The 25879-nt window shown below is 40.6% G+C and overlaps 1 long non-coding RNA gene across 2 annotated transcripts; it reads left to right on the forward strand.

Annotated features, from left to right (window-relative positions):
- The first annotated feature begins 73 nt into the window (after positions 1 to 73).
- LOC105376368 (uncharacterized) lies at positions 74 to 24962 on the forward strand. 2 transcript variants are annotated; one of them, XR_930586.4, is made up of 4 exons: positions 74 to 121; positions 2428 to 2586; positions 5029 to 5148; positions 24430 to 24962. It is a non-coding gene; the product is annotated as an uncharacterized LOC105376368 (long non-coding RNA). The 2 variants fall into 2 exon arrangements; XR_930587.4 differs by having other exon boundaries at positions 24478 to 24962.
- The last annotated feature ends 917 nt before the right edge of the window (positions 24963 to 25879 follow it).

Below are 25879 nucleotides of genomic sequence, written 5' to 3' on the forward strand. Positions count from 1 at the left end.
TGTCTTCTTCCGCCCAGCTGCCTCTGTGTCTTCTTCCGCCCAGCTGCCTCTGTGTCTTCTTCCGCCCAGCTGCCTCTGTGTCTTCTTCCACCCAAGTGTTCTTCACGACGTCCAGCCGCTTGTATGTCTACTTACTAAGGTGTCCCGGGGTTTTATAGGCACAGGATGGGGGCGCGGCAGGCCAGGGTGGTGTTGGGAAATGCAACATTTGTTCATGAAGTGAGGAGTGCCTGACCTCACCTATGTCCGTGGGGGTGGAGCCCTAGCCAGGGACCACGCCCTCCTCTACTCCGCACTTCCCTTCCCCGCTTCCCCATCATTTAAAGGGACCATGTTCTTCCCTTCAAGAGCACCTAGAATCTATTCTTTTAGCAAGGTTTCACATACAATATAATAATATCAATAATAGTCGTCAAACTTTGCGTTAAGTGTCTAGATGTATTCATCTTTTGACCAAGAAAATGATTAATTTTATAAATATTCTATCACCATAAACATGTGAATAAAAATATTGTCTGCTCAAGGAATATAAGATTCTATGAATATCAATTACTTCACATTCTCATTTACTTATTTTATTATTTAATTTTTAATCACATTTATTTTATACTTGAATTTTTATGAAATACTTGTTTATCTTTTAAATTGATCCAATTCTCAAAAAGACAGATTAAACTATCTCACTAAAGATATAATATTAATAGTTTAGTTCATGCTTTATTATTTAGGCCTGTAAAATTTAGTACATATAAACAACAGACTCTCTTCTTTATTGCTTTGTGCTTTTAGTTTTAAAGTTAACAATCTCTCAGCTTGACATCCTAGCTTTCGTTTTTGTTTGCATTTACAGAATATTTATTTATGGCCCACCTTGAGCTCTCTATTAGGTTGTATTTGCTATTTGGTTTCAAGTATTTTCCCAAGAACTTTTTCAGATGGGGTATAAGGCAGATATATTTTTCCAAATAATTGTATATTCAGACTTTCTTTTACTTCAAAAGGCAGTCAACATTTCTCATATACGGTCTTGGATGCTGTTCCAGTGTCTTGTAAAGAAATCCCTTCAAACCTCTAGAATTAGGATATTTTGATCTCTTAATTTTCTCTACCTGCACCCCAAATGTTGGCAGTTCTAAGCATGGAGAAAGGAAGAATGATTTATCCTTCCACGGGCCACCAGCATAGAAGCAGGGAGTATCTATACATCACCCCCCAAGACTCCTGGATGAAGCCTCTTTCCCATTCACCTGTCCTTTTGTCTCTCCCATTCAGGAACAGGTAGGTCTCTGCCCCTATGCAGCCATTGCTTCACCTTTAGGAGGCCAGGGAGACCAAGCCTGCTCCTGCAGAGCTGATGTTGACAGCTTCCCAGGGTTCTTCACACCTCTGCGTCTTAGTACTTCCCCGGATCCTCCGATGTACGTAGTCTTGGCTGCCAGGGTCTCCAGGGTTGGTGATATCTAGATTATTGTCCAGCCTATGGAGAGGAGAGTTCATGCCCATTTCTCTGCAAGTCTTTTCACAGAACCTAAAACCTCACCAAATCTCATTCAGAGGCCAGGTCACTGCTGCCATTTGACACAGGAGACGAGCCTGATTGTCTCCCATGAATAAAGCTTTGTGGGTGCTGTTTAAAACTATGGGTCTCTTTTGTCTTCAGCAGAAACGGTTTTTCATTGTTTTCGTATACTTCTAAGACGTTAAAAATACTTGAATATTTACACTAATTTTCAAACTTCTTTAGGTTTTGTATTAGCACTCTCCACAAAAATAACATATGTATATAGTATATATAACATTATATATCTTAGATGAAACTATATAGATAGAACAAAAAATGTGTTCTAGACTAAATTTGTCCTCTGAACAAATTTTCCACCAGCTCTAGTCATTGCTGCATTAGGGATTCTTGTCATCTAAGGACTGGGTTTTACTACATGAAGATGCTCCTGTTGACATAAACTGCTCAATGCAAACGTTTACCTGCATGTCAACGCGCAGCCTACCCAACTCAAACAACTCTTCATGGCCACGAGGTTACAACAGACACTTTGGCCGGGGACCCACTTATTTTCTGAGATTGTTTCACTATGGTCCTGGGGCAGCGAGCTCCCGTGGGGTGAAAGGCGCCCTCTGCAGTACCGGATGCGGCAGCGGCTCAGAAGGGCTGTGCAGGGGATCGCTGGTTAATTGATCAGAGCCAGTTTTCTTTATCAATGCTGGGAACGCGGGGGTGAGGTGAGTCAGTCCCAGCTTGTACTCTGGTTTCTGAGCTGTGGAATCCAACAGGAAGATCCCTTTCCCACCAGCTAAGCACAGACCTGAGATTTCCCCTGCTTGACTTCCAGCCGGGTCTTCACCGTGCTGTGCCAGCTGCCTCAGGCTGTGGTCCTTGTTATTTATTTGTTTTTGTTTTTTTTTCATCAGCTTGGTTCTTTTCTATGAAATGTTTTTGCTCATTGTTGAAAACTTAAAGGCAAAAACCAAACCCATCTTCCAGTTGTGGGATAAAGCATCTTCATCGTCTGATTCCATTATTTCTCAAGTGTGCTACGCGATTGTGTTCCTGTTAGCTTTTACTTTCCTGTGAGTATCATACTTAAACCGAATGCATTGACCTGCCTATGTTTCCATGTTGGATTTGTATATTTTGGATTCCAGGGTTACAAATGTATCGCTTATTCCCGGAAATGAAGCAGGCTCTTTGACTTCCCTATAGGAACAGCATGGCGCACAGGCGTCGCGTGTGAAGGCCCCTCATAGCCGTGATTTGTTGATCTGTTTTTTTTCAGCTTCAGCAGCGCTCCGTGAAGTGACAACCACGTCCCTCAAATTCACTCTTGACTGTGTTTTTATTTTCATATGTCGTACTTCTTACCTAGGCCTTCATATCACAGTCATCTAAACTGAGAACAGATCAAGGCTGTGGCTCACCAAAGGTAAAAACTAACTGGGCAAAGCAAAGAAGGAGAAACAATTTGAAAACTCAGAGAATTCAACTTGTGACTCCTTCTTCGCTTTGCCCACCTTTGCTGTTCTTGACCGTTCTTTGGTTTATGCCTTATTATCTCCTGCTTCCCAGTTTTAAGATTCCCTAAACAAAATTAAAAAAAATAGTGTGTCGAGACATTTCCTTTAAAGTGATTAAATCTGAGCAGCATTAACTAAATGCTTTAATAGTTACAATTTTATAAATTCACTTTGTCTTAGAAAATCCATGTGGCTTCCTGCTGACCAGAGTGTGGCCCCTGGAATACCAAGAGGAGAGCCCATGTTGTGTAATTATGAACAGGGCGGAGCCCCTTCCCTATTTCCTTTGTGAACTGGTCTAAACATATTTTTATAAATATTTTAAAAATATCTTAATAATTTAATTTTTAGTTTTTATTTATTTATTTTTTTTGATACAGGGTCTCACTCTGACACCCAGGCTGGGGTACGGTGGTGTAATCTCAGCTCACTGCAACCTCTGCTTCCCGGGTTCAAGAGATCTCCTGCCTCAGCCTCCCAGGTAGCTGGGATTACAGGCGTGTGCCACCACACCCAGCTACTTTTTGTATTTTTAGCAGAGACAGGGTTTCACCATGTCGGCCAGGCTGGTCTTGAACCCCTCACCTCAAGTGATCCCCCGCCTCAGCCTCCCGAAGTGCTGCGATTACAGGCATGAGCCCCCATGCCTGGCTAAAAAGGACTGCTGCTGAAAATACAGGTTTATAGTTGCCAAACGGTTGAAAGAGGGTTCAATGAACTAAAAATTTAGTCGGAAAGGTCAGAAAATGAGTGCACACATTTGGGGTCCCTCAGGTCAAGAGCAAGTGGAGGCTGGGCACGGTGGCTCATGCCTGTAATCCCAGCACTTTGGGAGGCCGAGGCAGGTGGATCACGAGGCCAGGAGTTCAAGACCAGCCTGGCCAACATGGTGAAACCCGGTCTCTAGTAAAAATACAAAAATCAGCTGGGTGTGGTGGCACACACCTGCAGTTCCAGCTACTCACCTTCTGAGGCGGAAGAATTGCTTGAACTCAGGAGGCAGAGATTGCAGTGAGCCAAGATCACTCCACTGCACTCCAGCCTGGGTGACAGAGCGAGACTCTGTCTCAAAAAAAAAAAAAAAAAATAGGAAAAGCAAGTGGAAGCCCCGTTGAACTCATCCCCATTTCTTCATGAGGGCAAGGGGCCCAGGGCGGGCTCCCCTGCGAGGCTAGAGATGCATCTGCTGGGCCTTTCCACCCACCCCAGAGAATCTCCTGGCTACCTGGCAACTTCACTTCCTCAAAACCTCCACAGTCCACCCTGCTCATTTTAAAGGCCTCATCATGTGAAGAAAGCTCTTTTGGGTCCCAAAGGAGCACTGCTTTCTTTTTCTTCTGAGAAACACCTGCCACATGGGAAACCTCAGGTGACACCTCAGGCCTGTAAGGAGGCAGCCCCCCTGGCAGCCAGGGGCACAGGAGCATTTTAGGAGAATTTCTCTGCAGCAGGAGGGGAACGTAAGGAAGCTTATTTTCGGTTGAGGTTTGATTTGGTTTTGCCATCTGAATGTTTTTATTATTTGGAAATGTCATTTAATGGCAGGAGCCTATTTTCTGAATACACTGGTCAGCTCGGACTTCACTCGCTTGCAAATAATTTGCATTTCTATCCTCCTGGACAGCAGTCTACAGATGGATTAACCGAGAATAGCCAGTTTGGGATGATTTTAGGGCTTCTTGGGTGCCAGCCCACTGCTGCTAGGACTTTTCCCAAAAAAAGAGATAACAAAGAGGGCTGGATGATTTGGTTCTTATCTGAGAAAAAGGATATCCATCTTTAAATGAAATATGGCACAGGACAAGTTCTATGGAGAAACTCAAACATGGCTTAAAATTATCTGCTGGGAGGACCATGAGCTCATGAGAAGCCAGGAAGGATTGAGGGTAAAAAATAACTCACTTTTAAAGTCCTTATGTAGGTCACAGCATACTTTGATGTGGGAGGGACTGAAATGAAATAGTACAGATAAACCTTACGTGAGTTCACCCTTGGCAGGAACAGGATCATGTTCTAAAGATGAGAAGCCACGCTATTACCAGCAGGTTGGAAGATGAATAAAGGCACCGTCGAGGCCTCTGATGGACTAAACCTGCATGTTCAGCACCCAAATACAAAGTAAGGAAAAGGAAGCATATTCCACTAAGTTCTTGCATGTTTCACTTTATTTTATTTTACATACAATGCTCCTACAAAACATCAGTGTAATTTATTTTTGTGTTAATTTAATAACATTTTTAAACCTAATATTTTAATTACAAAAGACATAGATGTAGAAACACTGATAAACATAATAATAATTTTAAAAATCCATTTGCCATCTTTCCATCCAAAAACATTTACCTTGACTACTTATTAGTACATCTCCCCAGATAACTTTCTATATATTATGCGCACGCATAAAATGGAAGCAAATCCTTGAATAACAGCTTTTATATTGTGTACCTTAAATATATGTATATTGCACTGTGTGATTCTATGTTTGGGCTCTCTGTTCTGTTCCATTGATCTGTTCATCTATTATTTTGCCAGTACCACAGTCTTCATTACTGTAGCTTTATAATAAGTCTTGAAGTCAAACAGAGCAAGTCTTCTGACTTTGTTCTTCTTCAACACTCTTTTGGCAAGCTGGGTGTTTTGTCTCTCCATATAATAGAATCCATTTGTTGATGTCTAAAAATTAACTTGCTGGCATTTTGACTGGGAACATATTGAATCTATAGATCAAGTTGAGAACAGCTGACATCTTAACAACACTGAGTCTTCTTACCCACACATGTGGAATATTTCTCCACTTATTTACATCTTCTTTGATGTGTTTTATCTGAGTTTCCTACTTTTAGCTCTTGTACATATTTTCATCAGATTTACACTTAAGTATCATTTTTGGGTGCTAATATAAGTGATGTGTTTCTAATTTTAAATTTTAATTGTTCATTACTGGTATATGGCAAGCAATTGACTTTTGTATACTTCCTTTGTACCTTACAACCTCGGTACAATCACTTATTCATTCCAGCTTTCTGTCATTGAGTTTTTTTTTAACAGAGATAATCATGTCATCTATGAACAAAGAGAGTCTTATTTGTTCCTTTCCAATCTGTATAATTTTTATTTTTTGCTAATTTTATTAGCTAGAACTTTCATTTTGATGTTAAATAGAAATTTCGAGAGTAGATATCCTTGCCTTATTTCTGATCTTAGCACGAAAGCATTCAATTTTTCATTATTTATTAAGAGGAGAGCTGTAGGTTTTAATAGATGTTCTATGTCAGGTTGAGAAAGTTCTTCTTTATAGCTAGTTTGCTGAGGTGTTTTATCATGAATGGGTATTGGATTTTATCAAATTCTTTCACATATGATTGTATGATTTTTCTTCTTTAGACTGTGGAAGTGGTAGATTATGTTAATTGCTTTTTGAATGTTGAGCCAACCTTTCATACCTGAGACAAATCTTATTTGTTTATTTGAAATGATAATGACTGAGAATTTTTCAAAATTAATGACTGACACTGGCAGGGCACAGTGGTTCATGCCTGTAGTCCCAGCGCTTTGGGAGGTCGAGGTGGGATGTTTCAGGCCAAGAGTTCAAGACCAGCCTGGGCAACATAGCAAGACCTCATCTCAATAAGAAATAAAACAAAAAGGCCAGGCGCGATGGCTCACGCCTGTAATCCCAGCACTTTGGGAGGCCGAGGTGGGTGGATCATGAGGTCATGAGATCGAGACCATCCTGGCCAACATGGTGAAACCCCGTCTCTACTAAAAATACAAAAATTAGCTGGGCATGATGGTGCGTGCCTGTAGTCCCAGCTACTTGGGAGGCTGAGGCAGGAGAATCACTTGAACCCGGGAGGCAGAGGTAACAGTGAGCTGACATCGTGCCACTGCACTCCAGCCTGGGTGACAGAGTGAGACTCCATCTCAAAATAAATAAATAAATAAATAAAATAAAAGAAATAAAACAAAAAATTAGACAGGTGCCAGAGTGCACTCCTGGCCTTTAATTTTAATTACTATGGAAGCTGAGGTCGGGGAACATCCCTTAAGATTGAGGTTAGGGTGAACTGTGTTGGCACGACTGTGCTCCAGCCTGCACAACAGAGCGAAACCCTGTCTTTAAAAACAAACAAGCAAACAAAAAATGATTGACTCTAAACCACAAACCCAGACAGTCCTGCCTCCAATGTGTCAGCTTCTGCTCCTGGGTTTCTGTCACAAGTAAACTGTTATTCTCTCTGAGTATCTACCCCTCTTTCCCGTTTTGGGGGCAGCAGTCTGCCCTGTGACTGCGAGTCTCTGATGGATATAAGAAGAGTTGTTGATTTTCAGTTTGATCAGTTTTTTCTTGGTCTGAAGATGGAAGTGAGATCTTTCAAAGTCTTTACATGTCAGACCATGTTGTTATTTTTCAAAAAATAAATCCAAAGTTAGGAATTTTTTTTGAGACAGGGTCTGCTCTGTTGCCCAGACTGGAGTGCAGTGGCACGATCTCAGCTCACTACAACCTCCGCCTACCGGGTTCAAGCAATTCTCCTGCCTCAGCTTCTCCAGTAGCTGGGACTACAGGTGCATACCGCCACACCCAGCTAATTTTTTGTATTTTAGTAGAGACAGGGTTTTACTGTGTTGCCCAGGCTGGTCTTGAACTCCTGAGCTCAGGCAATCCACCCACCTAGGCCTCCCAAAGTGCTGGGATTAAAGGCGTGAGCCACCACGCCCAGCCAAATATTTTTAAGTATGTCAAATATGAATTATATACAGACTTAATATTCAGTATAGTGACATCATTTTTAATTCTATTTGCTGCTAAAGTCACCTGCAATAAAACCATATAAGCAAAAAAGTCCTTGAGGTTTTTGGCTCACTAAAGTGAGGACTGAAGACCCATGTCAGTATGTGTGACAAAAGACCAAAACAAAACAAAAAGCTTATTAGGTATAATCACCAAGTTTTGTTTTCTTGACCTTTCCAGAAAAAATGTCTTTGTTTTGAAGTTTTTGAATAATTGCTGAGCAAAGAGCTATAAAGGAGTGATGCTTTTTGTTTTGCCTTTTATTTCACAAGTTTCATGAAGCTGAAGAGCTTTAGCCTATGAATAATGAAAATGCACCTGAATTCTTATTATGACATCAATGGTCTCCTACTCGGCTCCTATACAGTGTAGATCAATAACATGCAAAGAACTTCTTCCTTGTCCTATACAATTATACATTTTAAATTGCTACCGTATAGAAATTCTGTTATATTGTACTCTCAGCATTTGCTAATTTTTTTTTCTTTTCTTCAGAGCTTTTCTCCCATGATGGAAAAACTAATTTATTTTACTTAATTCTTAACACACATAGACACACGTATATACACACACACATATATATGTGCATCTGTGTGTGTATATGTGTGTGTCTGTGTGTGTCTGTATGTGTGTATATGTATACTATATATGTGCATACATATATATGTGTGTGCATTTATGTGCGTGTATATGTCTATATGTTTTAAGAATTAAGCTAGTTTTTTAATCGTGTGTGTGTGTGTGTGTGTGTGTGTGTGTGTGTGTGTATGTATAAAACACGTTATGTGACCTAGAAAATTGGCTAAAATCTTCTTTGTGATGTAGTGGCATTCATACTTGCAAGAAACAGTCATGCTTTCAGCTACTGCTGTTTGGGGGGAGCTTAGGAAAAATTACATATTTATGGGTCAAAGATTTAAAAACTCAAGTCTTTCCAATGTACAGCCTACAGATTTTTCCATTAACAATGAAAATAAGGACTGCTATAATTTATTAAATTTCTACTATATGTAGGGACGATATATACATGACATTCTTAGTCCCACAATGTTCACCTTGTGACAGGCATCTGTATGCTTGTTAAATAAAGAAGAAAGCATACTCAGAGAAAAGCCCCCAAGTTAGTAAATAACAAAGCTGGAACTAAGACCTTGGACTGTTTTGGGTTTTTTTTAATACAATGTTTTCAAAGTTGAAGTGAGATTTACATATCATAAAATTAATCATTGTAAAGTGTACAATTCCGTGCATTTAGTATGTCCACGACTCTGTGCAATAATCACTTTCAATGAAGTTCCAAAACATTTAATTACTCCATAAGGTAACACATACGCATGAAGCAGTCAGTCCCCATTCTCGTCTTCCTTCAGCCCCTGACAACCACAAATCTGCTGTCTATCTGTGAGGATTTACCTGCCCTGATATTTCATATAAATAGATTCATACGATACATGACCTTCATGTCTGGCTGACCGTTTTCTGACCAATCGCAAATTCCATGTTGTTTCTTTGATAATATTCTGCCCTGGGCATTTCCTTGCTCACAAACTTTAAAAACAAAATGTTGGGCTGGGTGCAGTGGCTGACACCTATAATCCCAGCACCTTGGGAGGCCGAGATGGGCGGATCATTTGAGGTCAGCAGTACAAGACCACCTGGACAACATGGTGAAACCCCGTCTCTACTGAAAAATACAAAAATTAGCCAGGCATGGTGGCATGCACCTGTAATCCCAGCTACTCGGGAGGCTGAGGCAGGAGAATCGCTTGAACCTGGGAGGTGGAGGTTGCAGTGAACCAAGATTGTGCCACTGCACTCCAGCCTGGGTGACAGAGCGAGACTCCATCTCAAAAAACAAAACAAAACAAAACAAACAAACAAAAATGCTGCTTTAAAAAATAATGAGTAGCTTTCAAAGGATACTTACAAAATGTATGTTAAGCAATAAGAATAATGGTACAAGAAATACCTGTGTACCTGAGTCAGTTTAAGACCATGCCAGTGTGCGTGCGTGTGCCCAGACACACGTCACCGTTGAAGGCCCTGCAGGCACCTCCTCTGACCTGCCCCACCCCACCCATACGACCATTCTCCTGAATGCTTATCTATAATTCCCTCCCTTTTCTTCAGGTTTCTGTGCATATTTCTATGTTTTTTATTGAGTTCTGCATATTTTGAAATTTATATAAACGGAATCCTACTGGGTGAGATGCATCTACATTGTTCTGTGTCTCTCCAATTCTCTTCTTTTCACTGATGACTAATATTCTATGAAATGATTGTACTAAAGGCTGGGCACAGTGGCTCACGCCTGTAATCCCGGCACTTTGGGAGGCCGAGATGGGCAGATCACCTGAGGTCAGGGGTTTGAGACCAGCCTGGCCAACATGGCGAAAACCCATCTCTACTAAAACTACAAAATTAGCTGGGCATGGTGGCACATGCCTGTAGTCCCAGCTACTCAGAGGCTGAGACATGAGAATGGCTTGAACCCAGGAGGCAGAGGTTGCAATGAGCAGAGGTTGCGCCACTGTACTCCAACCTGGGCTCAAAAGCAAAAAAAAAAAAGATTCTACTAAACCGTCTCAATCTGTTTTTGTGTTGATAGGCATTTGAGTTATTTCCAGCTACGTCCTTATTATGAACATTGGTATGAATATGCATACGTACATATATATGCATATTCTGGGAGATGAGGTGGAAGGTAGAGTTTTTTTATGGAGTTTATACATAAAAATGAAATTTCTGGGTGACAGAGAATGCACAGTTTCAGCTTTACTGGATAATGCTGATTTTCCAAAATAGTCCTAGAAATTTATACTCCTACCAGTTTTAGAAAAATGTTCCAATCACTACATATCCTCATCAGTACTAGATATTTTCAGACTAAAAAAAAGGTTGCCAATCCACTGGATTAGAACATGCATCTCATTTAGTTTTTAATTTGCCTTTCCCAGGTTACTACTGGTGGTGGGATTTTTTTTTTCATGTGTTCATTGGTTATTCGCATTTCCTCTTCTGTGAAATTACTCTTTATTTCTATTTTTCTATTGGGTACTTGAATTTCTCCTGTTGATCTATGTATTGAAAATAATCATGTCTTGCTTTGTGCTTGTGTTTTCATTGTTTTTATGATATCTTGATTAGCCTCATTTTTAAGAGCACTGTAACCTAAATTATTTTAGCATAATAGGTTGTGGTTTAATTTATCTTCTTTATAATTTGCAATTTTCCATATCCTATTAAAACATCCTTTCCTACCCGGTGAGAATAGAGCTTTTTTATATTATTTTCTGAAATTTCTAAATTTGTCTTTAACATTTATGTCTTTAGGGGTTTGATGCAGTAATCTAATTTCATTTATTGAAAAGCCCATTCTTCCTTTACTGACCTACAAAGTGAGCTCTACTGTAATTTCATATATGTTTTATTCAGATCTCCATTTACCTATTTAGATATAAATATATACATTTCTCAGCTCTGTATTGTGCTCCATTTATCAATTTATTTATTCCTCTGTCATATACACTATGGCATTTTCCTTTTTTATTTATTTATTTTTTCTTTCTGAGGTTTTTCATTTCTCTTTTTTTGAAAAACTTCCTTTTTAACACCTACTTCACCCCATTCTACTCCACCCTTGAGAAAAATATTCTAAAGTAGTTAATCCACGTAATATTGCTAGTTTGTGCTTTTGCATAATATGTATTTTGCTTTATGCAAATCCATTTTTAATGTAAGTGAATGGTATCATGTTTTATACCTTGTTCTGTTTCTTATCCTTTTTTTCTTCACTAAGCATGGTATTTTTAAGACTCATCTATTTAATAATGTGCAGAGAGGATCTGCTGGTCCCAACATACTCTACAGGGCACTGCCCCATGTCTCACCCGTCTGCCTGACCCACAGGCAATGCTGGAGCAAGCACCCATGAACACGTTCCCTTACTGACCTGGATCAGAATTTCCATAGCATAAATGTGTACAAGGGTAACTGCATATACTTGGGTAAGGTTTGCACATGCTTTGCCTGACTAGGGAGTGCTAGGTTGTTCTTTAGCATGGCTGCTCCAGTCTGCAAGCCCACCCACAGTGAATGGGGCCTTCATCTCCCCTACATCCGTGATACTTGGCATTGCCTAGCTTCTTAAGCTTAGCCAGTCCATATGCAGAATGTGATATTATATTATTTAAATAAGCATCATTCTGTTTACTAAATTAAGCTTTTGAGCATTGATTCATTGTTTTTCAGTTTCCTTTTCTACAAATTGTCACTTCATATCCTTTGCATATAGTATTAGTTTGTTCTTGTGTTACTACAAAGAACTACCTGGGACTGAGTAATTTATAAAGAAAAGAGGTTTAATTGACTCACAGTTCCACATGGCTGGAGGGTCCCAGGAAACTTAATAATCATGGTGGAAGGCGAAAGGGAAGCAAGCACATCTTACCATGGCAGAGCAGGAGAGAGAGAGAAAAGGACGAAGCATTATACACTTTTAAACAACTAAATCTCATGGGAACTCATTCAATATCACGAGAACAGCAAAGGGGAAGTCCACCGCCATGATTCAATCGTCTCCCACCAGGCTTCTCTTCCAACACGTGGGAATTACAATTTGACATGAGATTTGGGTGGGGACACAGAACTAAGCTATGTATATATAATGTACATGTTCTATATGTACAACCAAGCCATATATATAATGTACATGTTATATATGCTTATATATATATAAAGCCTGTATTTTTCCTACTAGAGGTTGCTGTCTTTTCCTTCTTTATTTACAGAAAGTTCTTCTAAACACTAGAATGTAAATATTATTTTTATTTATTTGGCCAATGAAAATGTATTCTCTTATTTTTGTATCTACTAGATTTCTTTACAGTGTTCTTCATTTTGAGGAATACAATATGTCAGAATTGTGCTTTTCCAAGATATTTTGTTTGCTTTGTTTTTATTTATAAAACAATCCCTTCCTGACCCTAAAGCACATGATATTCTGCGACTTTTTTTTTTCTGCTTTTATGGTATTCTTGGTAATTTCTCCAGATCTGCTGTCCAATTCACTCTTCGGATTTTTCCCAATAAAATGATAAGTCTGTTCATTGAATTTCTCATTTCAATTAGCATCGGAAAGTTTAATTTTTAAAAATCTCCTGATTATTTTTAGGTCACTTTTTATGTGTCCCTATTTAATTAAGCATAGTGAAATGCCTATTTTTATTCAGTGTGTAGTATTTCCATATCAAAATATTTTTGCTGGTTAGTTTCTGCAGTTGTTGTTGTTTTCCTTGCTGGCACTTGTTTGTGGATCTAGAACTTGTTTCCTTGTGTGATAAGAGACCTTTGCAACTTAATCCGTAGCTGTCCTTCGAGTCTCCGGTTCAGGGTGTGGAGGACTCACGTTTCTGCCAAGCGCCTGGGTTCACTCCCAGCCCTGGGCAAGTTTGACCAAATGACTAGCCTCATGGTTAGTGGAGTTCCCAAGTTGCATAAACTCAGATTGCAAGTTTCCATGAGGATCAGCTTGTGGTCTGAATTTCTCAGAAGAGATTGTTTTTCTTCCCCCACTCAGAATCAGGGTTCCTTGGCCTTCCTAGGTTTGGAGAAAATTTATCAACCCTTCATCTTTGTGCAGAGAGTCCTATTTTCATGAAAAAGTTGTCTTAGCAGACACTCTCTCGGGAGTGAGGGAGGGATGCTGTCACCAGCCAGAGGACACCAGAGCTCAGGCTGACTGTGTTCAATAAGGCCTCAGGGTGCTGCAGGCTGGGAGCTCTGCTTCTGGCCCTGAAATCCTGCTCACATGTCCTGCTCAGTCTCCCATTGTCTCCCTAACTTGCTATTGTTTTTTTAATGAATTGTAAAAGATGTTGTAAAATATCTTATTCGGAATTTGAGTTCTATTTCATGGTAGAATTAGTTAGGGGCCCAACAAGTCTTCATTTACACATTTTACCTGCCTATAGAAAAGGTATAAATCCTTTGTTTTTTTATATAAAATCTCAGGGTCTCCATAGTGTAGCAGTGCCCTGGCACTCTGAACTTGCGGTTATTAACATTCCACCCGCACTGTCATGTCAAACTGCCTGGCCTCACCTTTCTCTCTTCGATGTTTTAAATTCGTCACTCGCAGGGTGCTTTTCCCTTCACGCTGTCAGTGTGATTTTGATTTCACTCAACTCAGCAGGCGTGCATAAGCACCAGGTGGCAACTCCCCGTTCCAGCACAACCGTATCCATCATCTTCCTCATCCTCTGGGTACCAGAAGAAGCCCTCCTTATTACACAAAGTCTTCTCTGCCAACTTGGAGCCACTTCAGACTCACAGCTTTGAAATCTTCTGGAGTGGACTGAGTTACTGATACCCCTGATTCAGATGATGAAACTCCTTATCCAGTTTTCTTACCAGATTGTTACCTGCCCGAGAGCAGCGATCATTACCTGCTTTTTTGGTGGCTTCACTTCAGCATCCTATACACTGTTGGTTCAATAAGTCACTGGTGTATTTGATATCTGTGGAACACATTTCTAATGTTAAGTGATCTTGTCTTAGACCTGAGATAACATCATCTTTTTCGTTTTATTGCATGACAATATCACGTACATTTTTAAGAGCTCTAAACAGAGTTTGGGATATCCTATTCATCTTTGATTTGCACCCCTCTTTTGGAGATCAACACTTAGATTCTTGGCTCATGAATTTGTTCAATGAGTATAAATGATTGAGTCTCTTAACTCCCAGAAGGGTTAACTAGAAAATTAGTCCTCAACTTGAAACTTCAATTATGTACATAAAATCTATGCACCCTCCTCATTAAGCACTTTTGTCAGTTGAAGCTAGTCTTCAATTTAATAATTTTATTAGTATTCTAAAATTGTAGCAGGAAAGATTAATTGTAGTAATAATTAGAAAATTGAGCATTAAGTTTTTTTTTTTTCCAACAGAGTTGCCTTCATACTGTTATATTTCACTTTGTTTTAGCAAGGCAGTCCATGTGCAAACGGAAAATAATTTATTTGTGTGTGGCCTAACAATGCATTTTTAAACAGAATGTAAAGTTTTTGTAAAAACACTAAAATTTCTGTTTTATTAACTAAGCTCAAAATAGTGCTAGCCTCACCAAAAAAAAAAAAAAAAAAACATGTCTATTCTGTTAGAGCTACCATCTTCTAAATTTCTCATCAGCTTATATGAAACATATACTGCAGCAGGAATTGAAGAGAAACAACTAAGGATACGGAAAGTGTATCTTTCCGGTGAGATTTGCTCTGCACATAATATACATGTCAGGCCCTGCGTGCTGTATGCTTTCTGTCTGGCCTTCCTCCAACCCCCACCCTTTTGTTACCTTTTTCTCCCTTGCCACCTCAGCAGCTTAGCAGCCGTGTCTTCTGAGCTGGCGCATAGGCCGGCTCTGGCATGAACTCTGTCTTCCTGCATCATCCCTGCACATAGCAGGATGCCTTCCTCATGCCAGTCTGCTCACACTATTTGCTCATTCCTCTTTGTTCAAATTGCAAATGTGAGGCATTTGGGGTGCTAGAATCCTGAAGGTCAGATTCTACATAGGTCTCATCTTTGTATGTGGTCCTGCCCCATTTATGGGGTCAAAGTGTCAACATTTTAGGTATGTATACCTCAAAGCTGAAGGAGACTTGAACCCTAGGTCAAGCCGCATGTCACCTATTGTCATTTAGGATTAATCAAGAGGTGAGTCATTGGAGGAAGCAGCGAAACCATGGGGGCAAGGAATATTTCAAAGGCCCAAGGACAATTTAAACATCAGCAAACATTGTGTCTGGACCCATTGGGATATGGAGCTTGTTGTCAGGTGACATGAGGAATCTTGTGTCTACGATGGAATCTATCACTTGGTAGGGGAGAGAGCCAGCTTCCAAAAGGCCAAAAAGGGTACAAGAAAAAGGAGGAGTGTGGTTGAGTAGTTAAAGAAAGTTGTGAAGATTTTCCTAAGGAGGTGGTGAATGTTTTACTTCTCTGCTGCTATTATTAACAACACCTTTTCCATGGAAGTCTCTGTGCTCTGGTCTTCTAGAGGAACAAGAATCCAAGCTGAATTTTTTTTTTTTTTGAAACAGAGTCTCACTCTGTTGTCCAGGTTGGAGTGCAGTGGCATGATCTTCGCTCACTGCAACCTCCGCCTCCTGGGTTCAAGCGATTCTTATACCTCAGCCTCCGGAGTAACTAGGACTACAGGCACGTGCCACCACACCCGGCTAATTTTTGTAGTTTTAGTAGAGACAGGGTTTCGCCATGTTGGCTAGGCTGGTCTCAAACTCCTGGCCTCAGGTGATCCACCCACCTTGGCCTCCCAAAGTGGTGGGATTACAGGCATGAGCCACTATGCCTGGCCCAAGCTGAATTTTTGTATGTTTTATTGGAAATGTAGATACATTCCATTCACACTTAATTAGTCCATTTGGAAAATATTGATTAGAATTTCCCATTTTCTAAAAAGTATTTTTCAATTAGTATTCCAATCACTGTTATTAACATCATCTCTATAAAATCAGTCAGTCTCTTTTAAGCTTTATGTCATGAGAGATGTCAGTTTGATTACTTAAAAAACAATTAAAATGAGTTGTAATTTTATATCAGACTTTGAGCCGTATATGGATTGATGAATGTTCTTAAGTCATCATAGTTTAAAATTCAACCAAACAGGTAATTATCATATACCATCAAATATAATTATAGGTGCTCATCTCCATAAAACCCTACAACTTAATATCACATATTAGCAGTTAATCATATAGTTTAAATGGGTCTATGATGCATTTTTATGAACTCTCTAATCTGCATCAGTGAAGAATACATACAGCACATGAGAAAAAAGGTAAATGAATGCTCAAGTGAAAAAGGATGTATTGGCCGGGCATGGTGGCTCACGCCTGTAATCCCAGCACTCTGGGAGGCCAAGGCGGGCGGATCACGAGGTCAGGAGATTGAGACCATCCTGGCTAACACAGTGAAACCCCGTCTCTACTAAAAATACAAAAAAATTAGCTGGGTGTGGTGGCAGGCGCCTGTGGTCCCAGCTATTGGGGAGGCTGAGGCAGGAGAATGGCGTGAACTCCGGAGGCGGAGCTTGCAGTGAGTGGAGATTGCGCCACTGCACTCCAGCCTGGACGACAGAGCGAGGCTCCGTCTCAAAAAAAAAAAAGGGGGGTGTATTTTGAAATATTTATACTTCTGAAAGGAAGAGTGTTCTAATTCAGGAGACTTGACTATGAGTTTAGAATCAGATCAACGCAGCCCACTCTGGGAGGTGCCACCCAGAGAAATCACTCCCATTATTACACTTGCCTCCAAGGACAGCCAGACCAATGGGCTATGTCCCCACCCCAAGTTCTCATTATTTTCCCTGCCAATGAACAACCTATTTAACAGCAAATACACTATGAGGATTTTTTGGGTTGGTGTCCATTGACTTAGCCCTGACAACACACTGACACCAAGCTTCATGACACAACCCTTTTATTCCCAGGAATTGTAAGTGGTTCCATCTGCAAATTCTTCAGAAGAGTTCTTGTGTATTGATATTACCTCCTGTGGTCTTGTGTCACCTCTATTGTGTGAAGTGCTGATGGCGGCTTGTCAAGTGACTATACTTCTTCACCTCTTCTTCTATTCAGTGTGAAGGCTATTCTTGTCTTACAATTTTTAATTGTTTAAAAGAAGGTTTGATATATAAAAACAAGAAAAGGAGCAGCTTTGAGAGTTAAAAAAGCCGAGGCTGAAATGATGCATTACAAAGTATATAGATTCTGTACTCCAGATAAGATGGGGTTTAGAGGGAGTGGTAGAAACATTTGCTCCTTAATGGCAAAGGTAATAAACTCCTGCTCTCACTGCAAGAATTGACCATGAGATGGGGTCAGGAATCTTCAGGGGAGCAGACAGTGGTGTGGCCCTTGTCTAGGTCTCCATTTATACCTGAAGATGGAGCGGAATACGCACTCCAGATGCCTGGAACACCATTGCATGGGAGTGTGGGTCACGGATCCGAGGGATACACACTCTAGATGACTGGAAGTCAATAGCCTGGGAAGCGCAGGTCACACCCCGAGGGAAAGGGCTTCAGGATGAACATCTGCAGAAGGCGTGGACAAGGATGGGAGGCAACAGGGTCACTGGGCTTTCCAGGACTCAGAGAATCAAAAGGCTTCCAGGTCATTTCTGGTAGAGCTGTTGGTGGTTACAGGAAGCAATTTGGATCCCAGACTCCTGGAGATGAACAGCTTTACGGTGAGCTCAGCTCTGAGTGTGGAAGCACTGCCATCCCAGGGGCTTCTGTCGCAGAAGAAACGGAAATCTGGCAAAAGGATGGCCAGGCTGGCCAGAAACCACTGGTCTAGATAGAAAAGGAATATGCTACTGTTGCCAGCCAAGGCTTTGTTTGTTTTGGGGAAAAAATATTGCTCTGAGTGAAATATCTATTTCTGGCATCTATTAACAATTGGTTATGGTTCCTTGTTTTAATTATATCATTACATTTTTAAAATGAAGGATTTAATTTGCTTTTGCTCCTATTTGTTGCTGATGTCGCTCAGTTCTCCAAATGGCTGCTGTCTTCCTCTAGTACTTAGTCTGCCATCTAGAAGCAAATTAAAGACACCCAAGAAACTTCAGTTATTGTATTGGTAACTATAAAATAATGATTAACAAACAGAAGGACAGGAAGCGGGAGAAGGCAGTCAAGTAGGAAGTAGAAAATCTAACACTGAGAGAGCACCCCCCAACATAGGGACTGTGTGGAGGTTTTACCCAAATGATGCTTCATTTAATTTTCACCAAAAGAAAGTGAGGTCCTTCCCCATCTGAGGGACAGGCCTCTGACACCCATCTCCGTAGCAGTCATCCCACAGGTTGGCCATGGCTGAGTAGGTCAGGGACAGACACCTTCTCGAAGCTGGGCTATCGTCCTCTCACTCTTTGATTTGGAATTCAGTCTTTATCATTGAAGGGTTAGAACTGTAATAGACAAACAATTGGGAATTAAGAGGCTGCCAGATCCTGTTATATGGAGTAACAAAATAGGACATTAGATGGATAGATGGAGAGAGACAGAAAGAGAGATGGATAGATGGATGGATTGAGAGATGATAGATAACAGATAGAGGACAGGAAAGAGGAGAGAAAGAAAGAAAGGGCACGAGAAAAAGAAAAAGAGAGAGAGCCACGTACAGAGAGAAATGTGCATGGGAAGCAGAGCCCCGGTTCCAGTTTCTTCCTGTAGTTCCCCTGCATTCCTATTCCTTGGTTCCATGAGACACCCCAAGTCCTTACAACAAACTCTCATTCTAAGCTAAAAGTTTGTTTCTGTTGCCTGCACACAAAGACTCCTAACTAATAAAACAGTGAACAAAATGACTGATATCTGTAATAGGGTAACCTGATAACACTTTTAAGATTGATTAGATTGAGACCAAACAGAAGGGAAAACACCTAGGCACCGTGAAGACCTATACAGTCATTAACATTCTCCTGACTTAGAACCTGTGATAATTAGGGAGTGACCTGCAGCAGTTTCCTTCACTCTGTGAGCCATGCATGCAAATGAGGGGTGCAGGAGAGGAATGCAGACCTGGGGCCCACCCGCATTCAAGTGCAATTGATGGGGCCATTGCAGGTCACCCTGATCTGCCCAGTGCCCCTAGCTGCTGCTGGTAGACTTGTAGGATCCTATAATTTAGGCTTCTCATTAATTCAGATGAACCGTGACTTTGGTGTGCCCTTCTCCATTCCAGTTATGTGGAAGAAATTTCATCTCTTGGTCTTTTATGCATTTTAAGATTTGATAGCAACGCTAGTGGCTCATGCCTGTAATCCAGCACTTTGGGAGGCCGAGGTGGGCAGATCACAAGGTCAGGAGATCGAGACCATCCTGGCCAACATGGTGAAACACTGTCTCTACTAAAAATACAAAAAAAAAAAAAATTAGCTGGCGTGGTGGCACGTACCTGTAATCTCAGCTACTCAGGAGGCTGAGGCAGGAGAATCGCTTGAACCAGGGAGTCGGAGATTGCAGTGAGCTGAGATCGCACCACTGCATTGCAGCCTGGTGACAGAGTGAGACTCCATCTCAAAAAAAAAAAAAAAAAAAAAAGACTTGATAGCAACCCTTTAGAGGTTGACATGAGAAATAAATGAATTAGTATTTAAAAGACCATAGAATGCATGGTCCATAGTAAGCAAGTAAAAGTCTATTCACTGCCTATACAACAGCCACGTTTCTCTCCATTTCCCAGCCCACTGAGCCTTAGGTGAGGACATGTGACAATTTCTGGCCAATGTGCTGTGAATGCAAGTGACATGTGCTACTTGTGGGCTGAACCCAAGGGGAATTTTAAGATGAGTCTGGGTTTACTCTGCACATTTGACCCCTGTTTGACCAGTGTCTTCAAGGCCTTCTGCTCTGGAGGGTGGAACAAAACACTTGAGGGATGGAGCTGGGCCCTCCTCTGCATGTTGCAAAGGTAGAATGTGTGAAAAAAAGTCTTGATTCTGTTGAGCCTCTAGGGTTTAAGGATCATGTGATAGCACGGAATCATCTCTCGTATCAAGAAATAAACATACTATCTCGTGAGCTTGCAGTCTATCTACAAGACTGAGACAGGGCAAACATTTTCTTAAGAAACAAAAAGGTAAAATAACATCTACAAACCTTGCAGCTTTCTACAAATTCTCCTCCCTTGGAATTCTTTGCCTTCCTCCTTTCTCTATGTCCTTACACAACACGAAGGAGTGAACTGTCCTGTAACACACATTCATGATGAAGGCATGGGCTCCTAGAGATCGGGGTTTCTCCCTGCCTTGGTCCATCCTGTTTGACCTGGGACAGTCTATGCAAATTATCTGCACTTCCAGATTCTCACCTGGGCATAGAGAGGAAGAAAGCTGCTGTCTCAGTGTTGGAAAATTAAGCAGAGGAGCACAGGGGCACCATGGTGCCTGAAATGTGCCATTGGTGTTAGCTATAATGAGATGATGAGTAAGCAGATCCGCTAACCCAAAATTGGCAAGCATGAGCCCCAGGCAATGGTGCAGGTGTGGAGTCAAATTTGCCCCCTAGGACATTCCTGTTACTGTTACTCAGGGACATTCGTGGATGGACAGAGTCTCAACAGGGGCTTTAGTTGTAGAACTTTTTGTGTTTGCCAGTGTGTATGCTTTTGACTCTTATTAGGGAAAGCTGGTGAAAGCAAGAGACTGTTTAATTATCTACTTTGTAATTCACTGTGGTACTAGCAGTGTCTTGCCTAAGGAAGGCTTTACATTTTCTTTAGGCAGCAAATGCAGAATTAGTTCGTAAGCAAAAGGTATTTTTTAAAAAATTCAATACAGGGTTTGTGATTTTCCTTCATGACTTGATATAATCCACCTGCTTGTCCCTTAAGAAGGGCAAGGTGAGAGAGCCAGCAGGTCTAACTGGCTTTGCCTGCCTCTCAATGAATATTATTTCTGGCTGTGCACAGAGAGGAATTTCAAGGTTTATGGGTGTGCTGAGAAAAATGGCAGAAATTTGCCTGCTGGGAAGCAAGAACTCAACAAGGCCCTAGATGTCCTAGGGCAGGCAGTGCAGCTGAAGTCCGGGGGCGAGGAAAGGCTTGAGTCTTGCTGATAAACCAGCTCCTCGTGTTTTAGTGGGCGAGGTCTGCTCATTTGTAAGAAGAGAGTGGCTGGACTTGTTGCTAAAATAAAGGCTATCACTATCCAAAAAAACCTTCTTTTTTTCGCTCCTGAAACTAGAAGAGTGATGGGGCATGACATTTTTTCAGCTGGTCAAAGGGTTATGTGGGTGAGTTACAGTCAAAGTGTATGCAAAACAGGTGTCAACATGAAGTGAGCTAGAAGTTCAGGCCCTTACTTCCAATTAGTTTATAATTGCAGAACAATTTAAAGCAGTGTATTCCTTAACTTCCAAAAGCCACTGAAATCAGTGGTGAAAATGTGTGTCCATCACTGAGTTGGTAGCAGAGAAACTGAGGAAAAGTAAAACCAGGGTGGAAGCTGTCCTTCTCCTCTTCGGTGCCCAGAATCAGAACTCTCCATTATCTGAAATTGGCTTCATTTGTTGAGGAAGCCACTACTCCATTTCTAGATAATCCTAGAGGTCTTTTATTTTTATTTATTTCAGTTATTAATTATGATTATTATTGATGAAAGATTATGCTTCTCTTTTCAATTTTGCACTCTAGATTTCTATACCTTTTTTCTTTTTTAAATCTTTTTTCTCTTCTTGGACCTCTTTTTCTTCTGTATAGCTGTTCTTTCTGGTGTATTTCTTCAACATAAGTTCCAAACATTCTCTTATCTGTTTTATATCATGTTTTTAATTCCTAAGTGCTATTTTTTGGTCTCTGGATATTTCATTTGTATGTAATATAATGCCCATATTCTTGCTTCACAGATGCAATACTTTTTTTATCCCCAAGTATATTAATAATTTTCCTTTGCTTATACTCTTGAAATTTTCTTCTCCTTGCATAATCCTATTTCTTTCAAGTGATTTTCCTTTGCTATTGTTTGCAATTTTGTTTTTGTTTTGGATTCAGTTACTTTCATGTTAGAGTCTTTTCTCAGTTATTAGGTGATTCCTTGTTTTCTGACCATAATTAAATAAATAATTAGCTAAATATTTCCTCACATCCAGGCTTGGATTCTGTTTCTCTGGGTCAGTAGTTACTGTCATACATCTGCTTTGCAGCTTTTAAAAGTGTACTGACAGAATTAGAAAAAAAAATCTTAAAATTCATATGCACTCAAAAAAGAGGCTGAATAGCCAAAGCAACCCTAAGCAAAAAGACCAAAGCTGGAGACATTATATGACCTGACTTTAAATTATACTACAAGGCTATAGTAACTAAAACAGTGTGGCACTGTTATAAAAATAGACACATGGATCAGTGAAACAGAACAGAGAAGCAAGAATGAAGCCACATACCCAACTGATCTTCAACAAAGTCAACAAAAATGTACATTGGGGAAATGACATCCTATTCAATAAATGGTGTAGGGAAAATTAGATAGCCACATGCAGATGAATGAAAGTAGACTCAGACCTCCCATCATATACATAAATTAACTCAAGATAAATTAAAGACTTAAATATCAGTCCTCAAACTACAAAAGTCCCAGGAGACAACCCAGAAAAAACTATTCTGAACATTGGCCTAGGCAAAGAATTTATGACCATGTCTTCAAAAGCAAATACAACAAAACAAAAATAGACAAATAGGACTTAATTAAACTAACCACAGCAAAATAATAGTAATAATAATAATAATAATAATAATAATCAATAGCTAAAACGTAAACCTGCAAAATGAAGAAACATATTTGCAAACTATACATCCAACAAAGGTCTAATCTAATCTCCAGAATTTACAAGGAACTCAACTCCACAAGAAAAAAAGCAAATAACCTAATTAAAAATTGGGCAAAGAATATGAACAGACATTTTTCAAAAGAAGGCATTCATGTAATCAATAAACCTATGAAAAAAAGCTCAACATCACTAATCATCAGAGAAATTCATATTAAAACCAAAAATGTGACACCATCTTACACCAGTTATAAGGGCTATTCTTAAAAATTTCTAAAACCAATGTTGGCAAGAATGTGGAGCAAACAAACCCTTATACACCATTGGTGGGAATGTAAATTAGAATAACCTCTAAGGGAAACAGCATGGAGATTTCTCAAAGAATTAAAAGTAGAACTACATTCATTCCAGCGACTTTACTCCTGGGTATCTACCAAAGGGAAAGAAATCGTTATATCAAAAAGAGAGCTGCCCTCATGTGTTTATTGCAGCACTATTCACAATAGCAAAGATAGGAAATTGACTTAACTGTCCACCATTGGATAACTGGATAAAGAAAATGTGGTGTATATATACCATGGAATACTACTCAGCCATGAAAAGAATGAAATTGTCTTTTGTAGCAACAGGGATGGAACTGGAGGCCATTGTCCTAGGTGAAATAACTTAGAAATAAAGTCAAATACTACATGTTCTCACACTTAAGTGGGAGCTAAACAGTGGGTACACATGCACCTACAGGGTGGAATAATAGACACTGGAGACTCCAAAATGTAGAAGGCTTCGGGAGTGTGAGTTGAAAAATTACCTACTGAGTACAACATACACTATTCGGGTGATGGGTACAATGAAAGCCCAGGCTTCACTGCCGTGCAGTGAAAAATGTCTGTTCATGTCCTTTGCCCAATTTTTAATCAGGTTATTTGCTTTTTTTCTTGTAGAGTTGAGTTACTTGTAGATTCTAGAGATTAGATTGGACCTTTGTTGGATGCATAGCTTCCAAATATGTTTCTCTATTCTTCAGATTTATGTTTTCTCTAAAACTGCAGGTTCATGTTTTCTCTGTGGGTTTATGTTTTGCACAACCACCATGTTTTCTTTTTAAGATTTTTTTTGAAGAAATCTGCACTTGTACCCCTTAAATCTATAAAAATTTCACCATGTTTTTGAAGTGTGCCAATGTTTTTACCTTACGAATTTTTTTTTAAGTGTGATGATGTTTTTACCTTTTGCGTTATCCCTTTCATTACAGGTTTGTGTCTTCAACAAAATCCCTTCATAATTGTTTCTTTTGCTTCAGACGAGAGAAAAAGTCGACACCTGCTTTCCTTCTGCCATCGTCGCTGGGAAGTGTCCTCTTGTCCATCTCCTGTCCAGAGGCGCCTTCCTGCTGTGCCCCCCGGAATATGGCTCTTTCTGATTTTACCAGCCCTTTTCACATCACTGCACCCAGGGGAAACGTCCTCTCCCCAGCCTCCTAAAGTGTGGCCATGCTATCTCCTTCCTGAGACACTTTCCTCTGGAGATTGCCCTGCTGTGATAGCCTAGTCATTGCCATCCCGGACACTCATGGTACCCTGTACCCGAACCAAATCAGAGCACTTTGACACAAGGCAGCCTCCAGGCAGGGGTCACCCTGGGATTGTAAGATCCATGTCACTCCAACAGAGCCTCTTCCTTCCCTCTCACTGGTTTCTGCCAACAGAGGGCGGCCAGGCACCACGCCCATATGCCTTGAATCTGAGCTAACCACCATGTAGGATCTAAGAAAAATATGCTTACCAGATGATGTTGGCCAGGCGCAGTGGCTCACGCCTGTAGTCCCAGCATTTTGGGAGGCCAAAGCCGGCGATCACTTGAGGTCAGGAGTTGGAGACCAGCCTGGCCAACATGGTGAAACCCTCCGTCTACTAAAAAAAAAAAGTGCCGCTTCAAAAAAAAAAAAAAAAAGCCAGGCATAGTGGCATGCTCCTGTAATCCCAGTTGCTGGGGAGGCTGAGGTGGGAGAGTGGCTGGAACCTCGGAGGCGGAGGTTGCGGTGAGCTGAGATCGCACCAGTGCACTCCAGTCTGGGTGACAGAGCGAGACCATCTCAAAACAAAACAAAAAAAAAAAAAAAAGAAGGAGAGATGATGCTGCATGCCTGGTATTGCGATCTCAAAAGAGTGATCATTCTACATACATTCTTAGCAAAACCTTCTGTTTTTTGCAAACCTCAATAAATTATTGTATGTGCGTCATAAACTGCTGTAGAATTTTGTCCAGGCTCAACACCAGAATTTCTCCGTGAAAATCAGGAAAACAGCCAGTCTGTGGCACTTCTTCCTTTCCCAAAGAATCGTCAGTTTCCTGCACACGTGGAGGTTCCCGAGGCAGCACAGGGCCTTGTGTTTCTGGAAACATTGACGTGCAAGCCCTGATCCAGCCCATGTGAACAGGTTAACCTCACCTCTCCCAATTGGGGAGGTTATTCTCTCTGGTGAAGAAGATTTAAAAACCGTGGAACAGAGCAATTTTGTTTTCTGTCTGCCCCATGTCACCTTCACGCCTTGCCCAAAATGATTTTGTCAAAAACCCAGTGAAAACAACAAGTATGTTTTGTTGTGTTTGTGTGTGTGCTGTTAAACTTTCTGACAGGCTTCACGTATTCTGCACTTAAACTTTCTAGAAAATGTTCCTACAAGTCCATGTGCCTTTGAATA

The sequence above is a fragment of the Homo sapiens genome, chromosome 10 (assembly GCF_000001405.40).
Source record: "Homo sapiens chromosome 10, GRCh38.p14 Primary Assembly".
Classification (NCBI taxonomy): domain Eukaryota; kingdom Metazoa; phylum Chordata; class Mammalia; order Primates; family Hominidae; genus Homo; species Homo sapiens.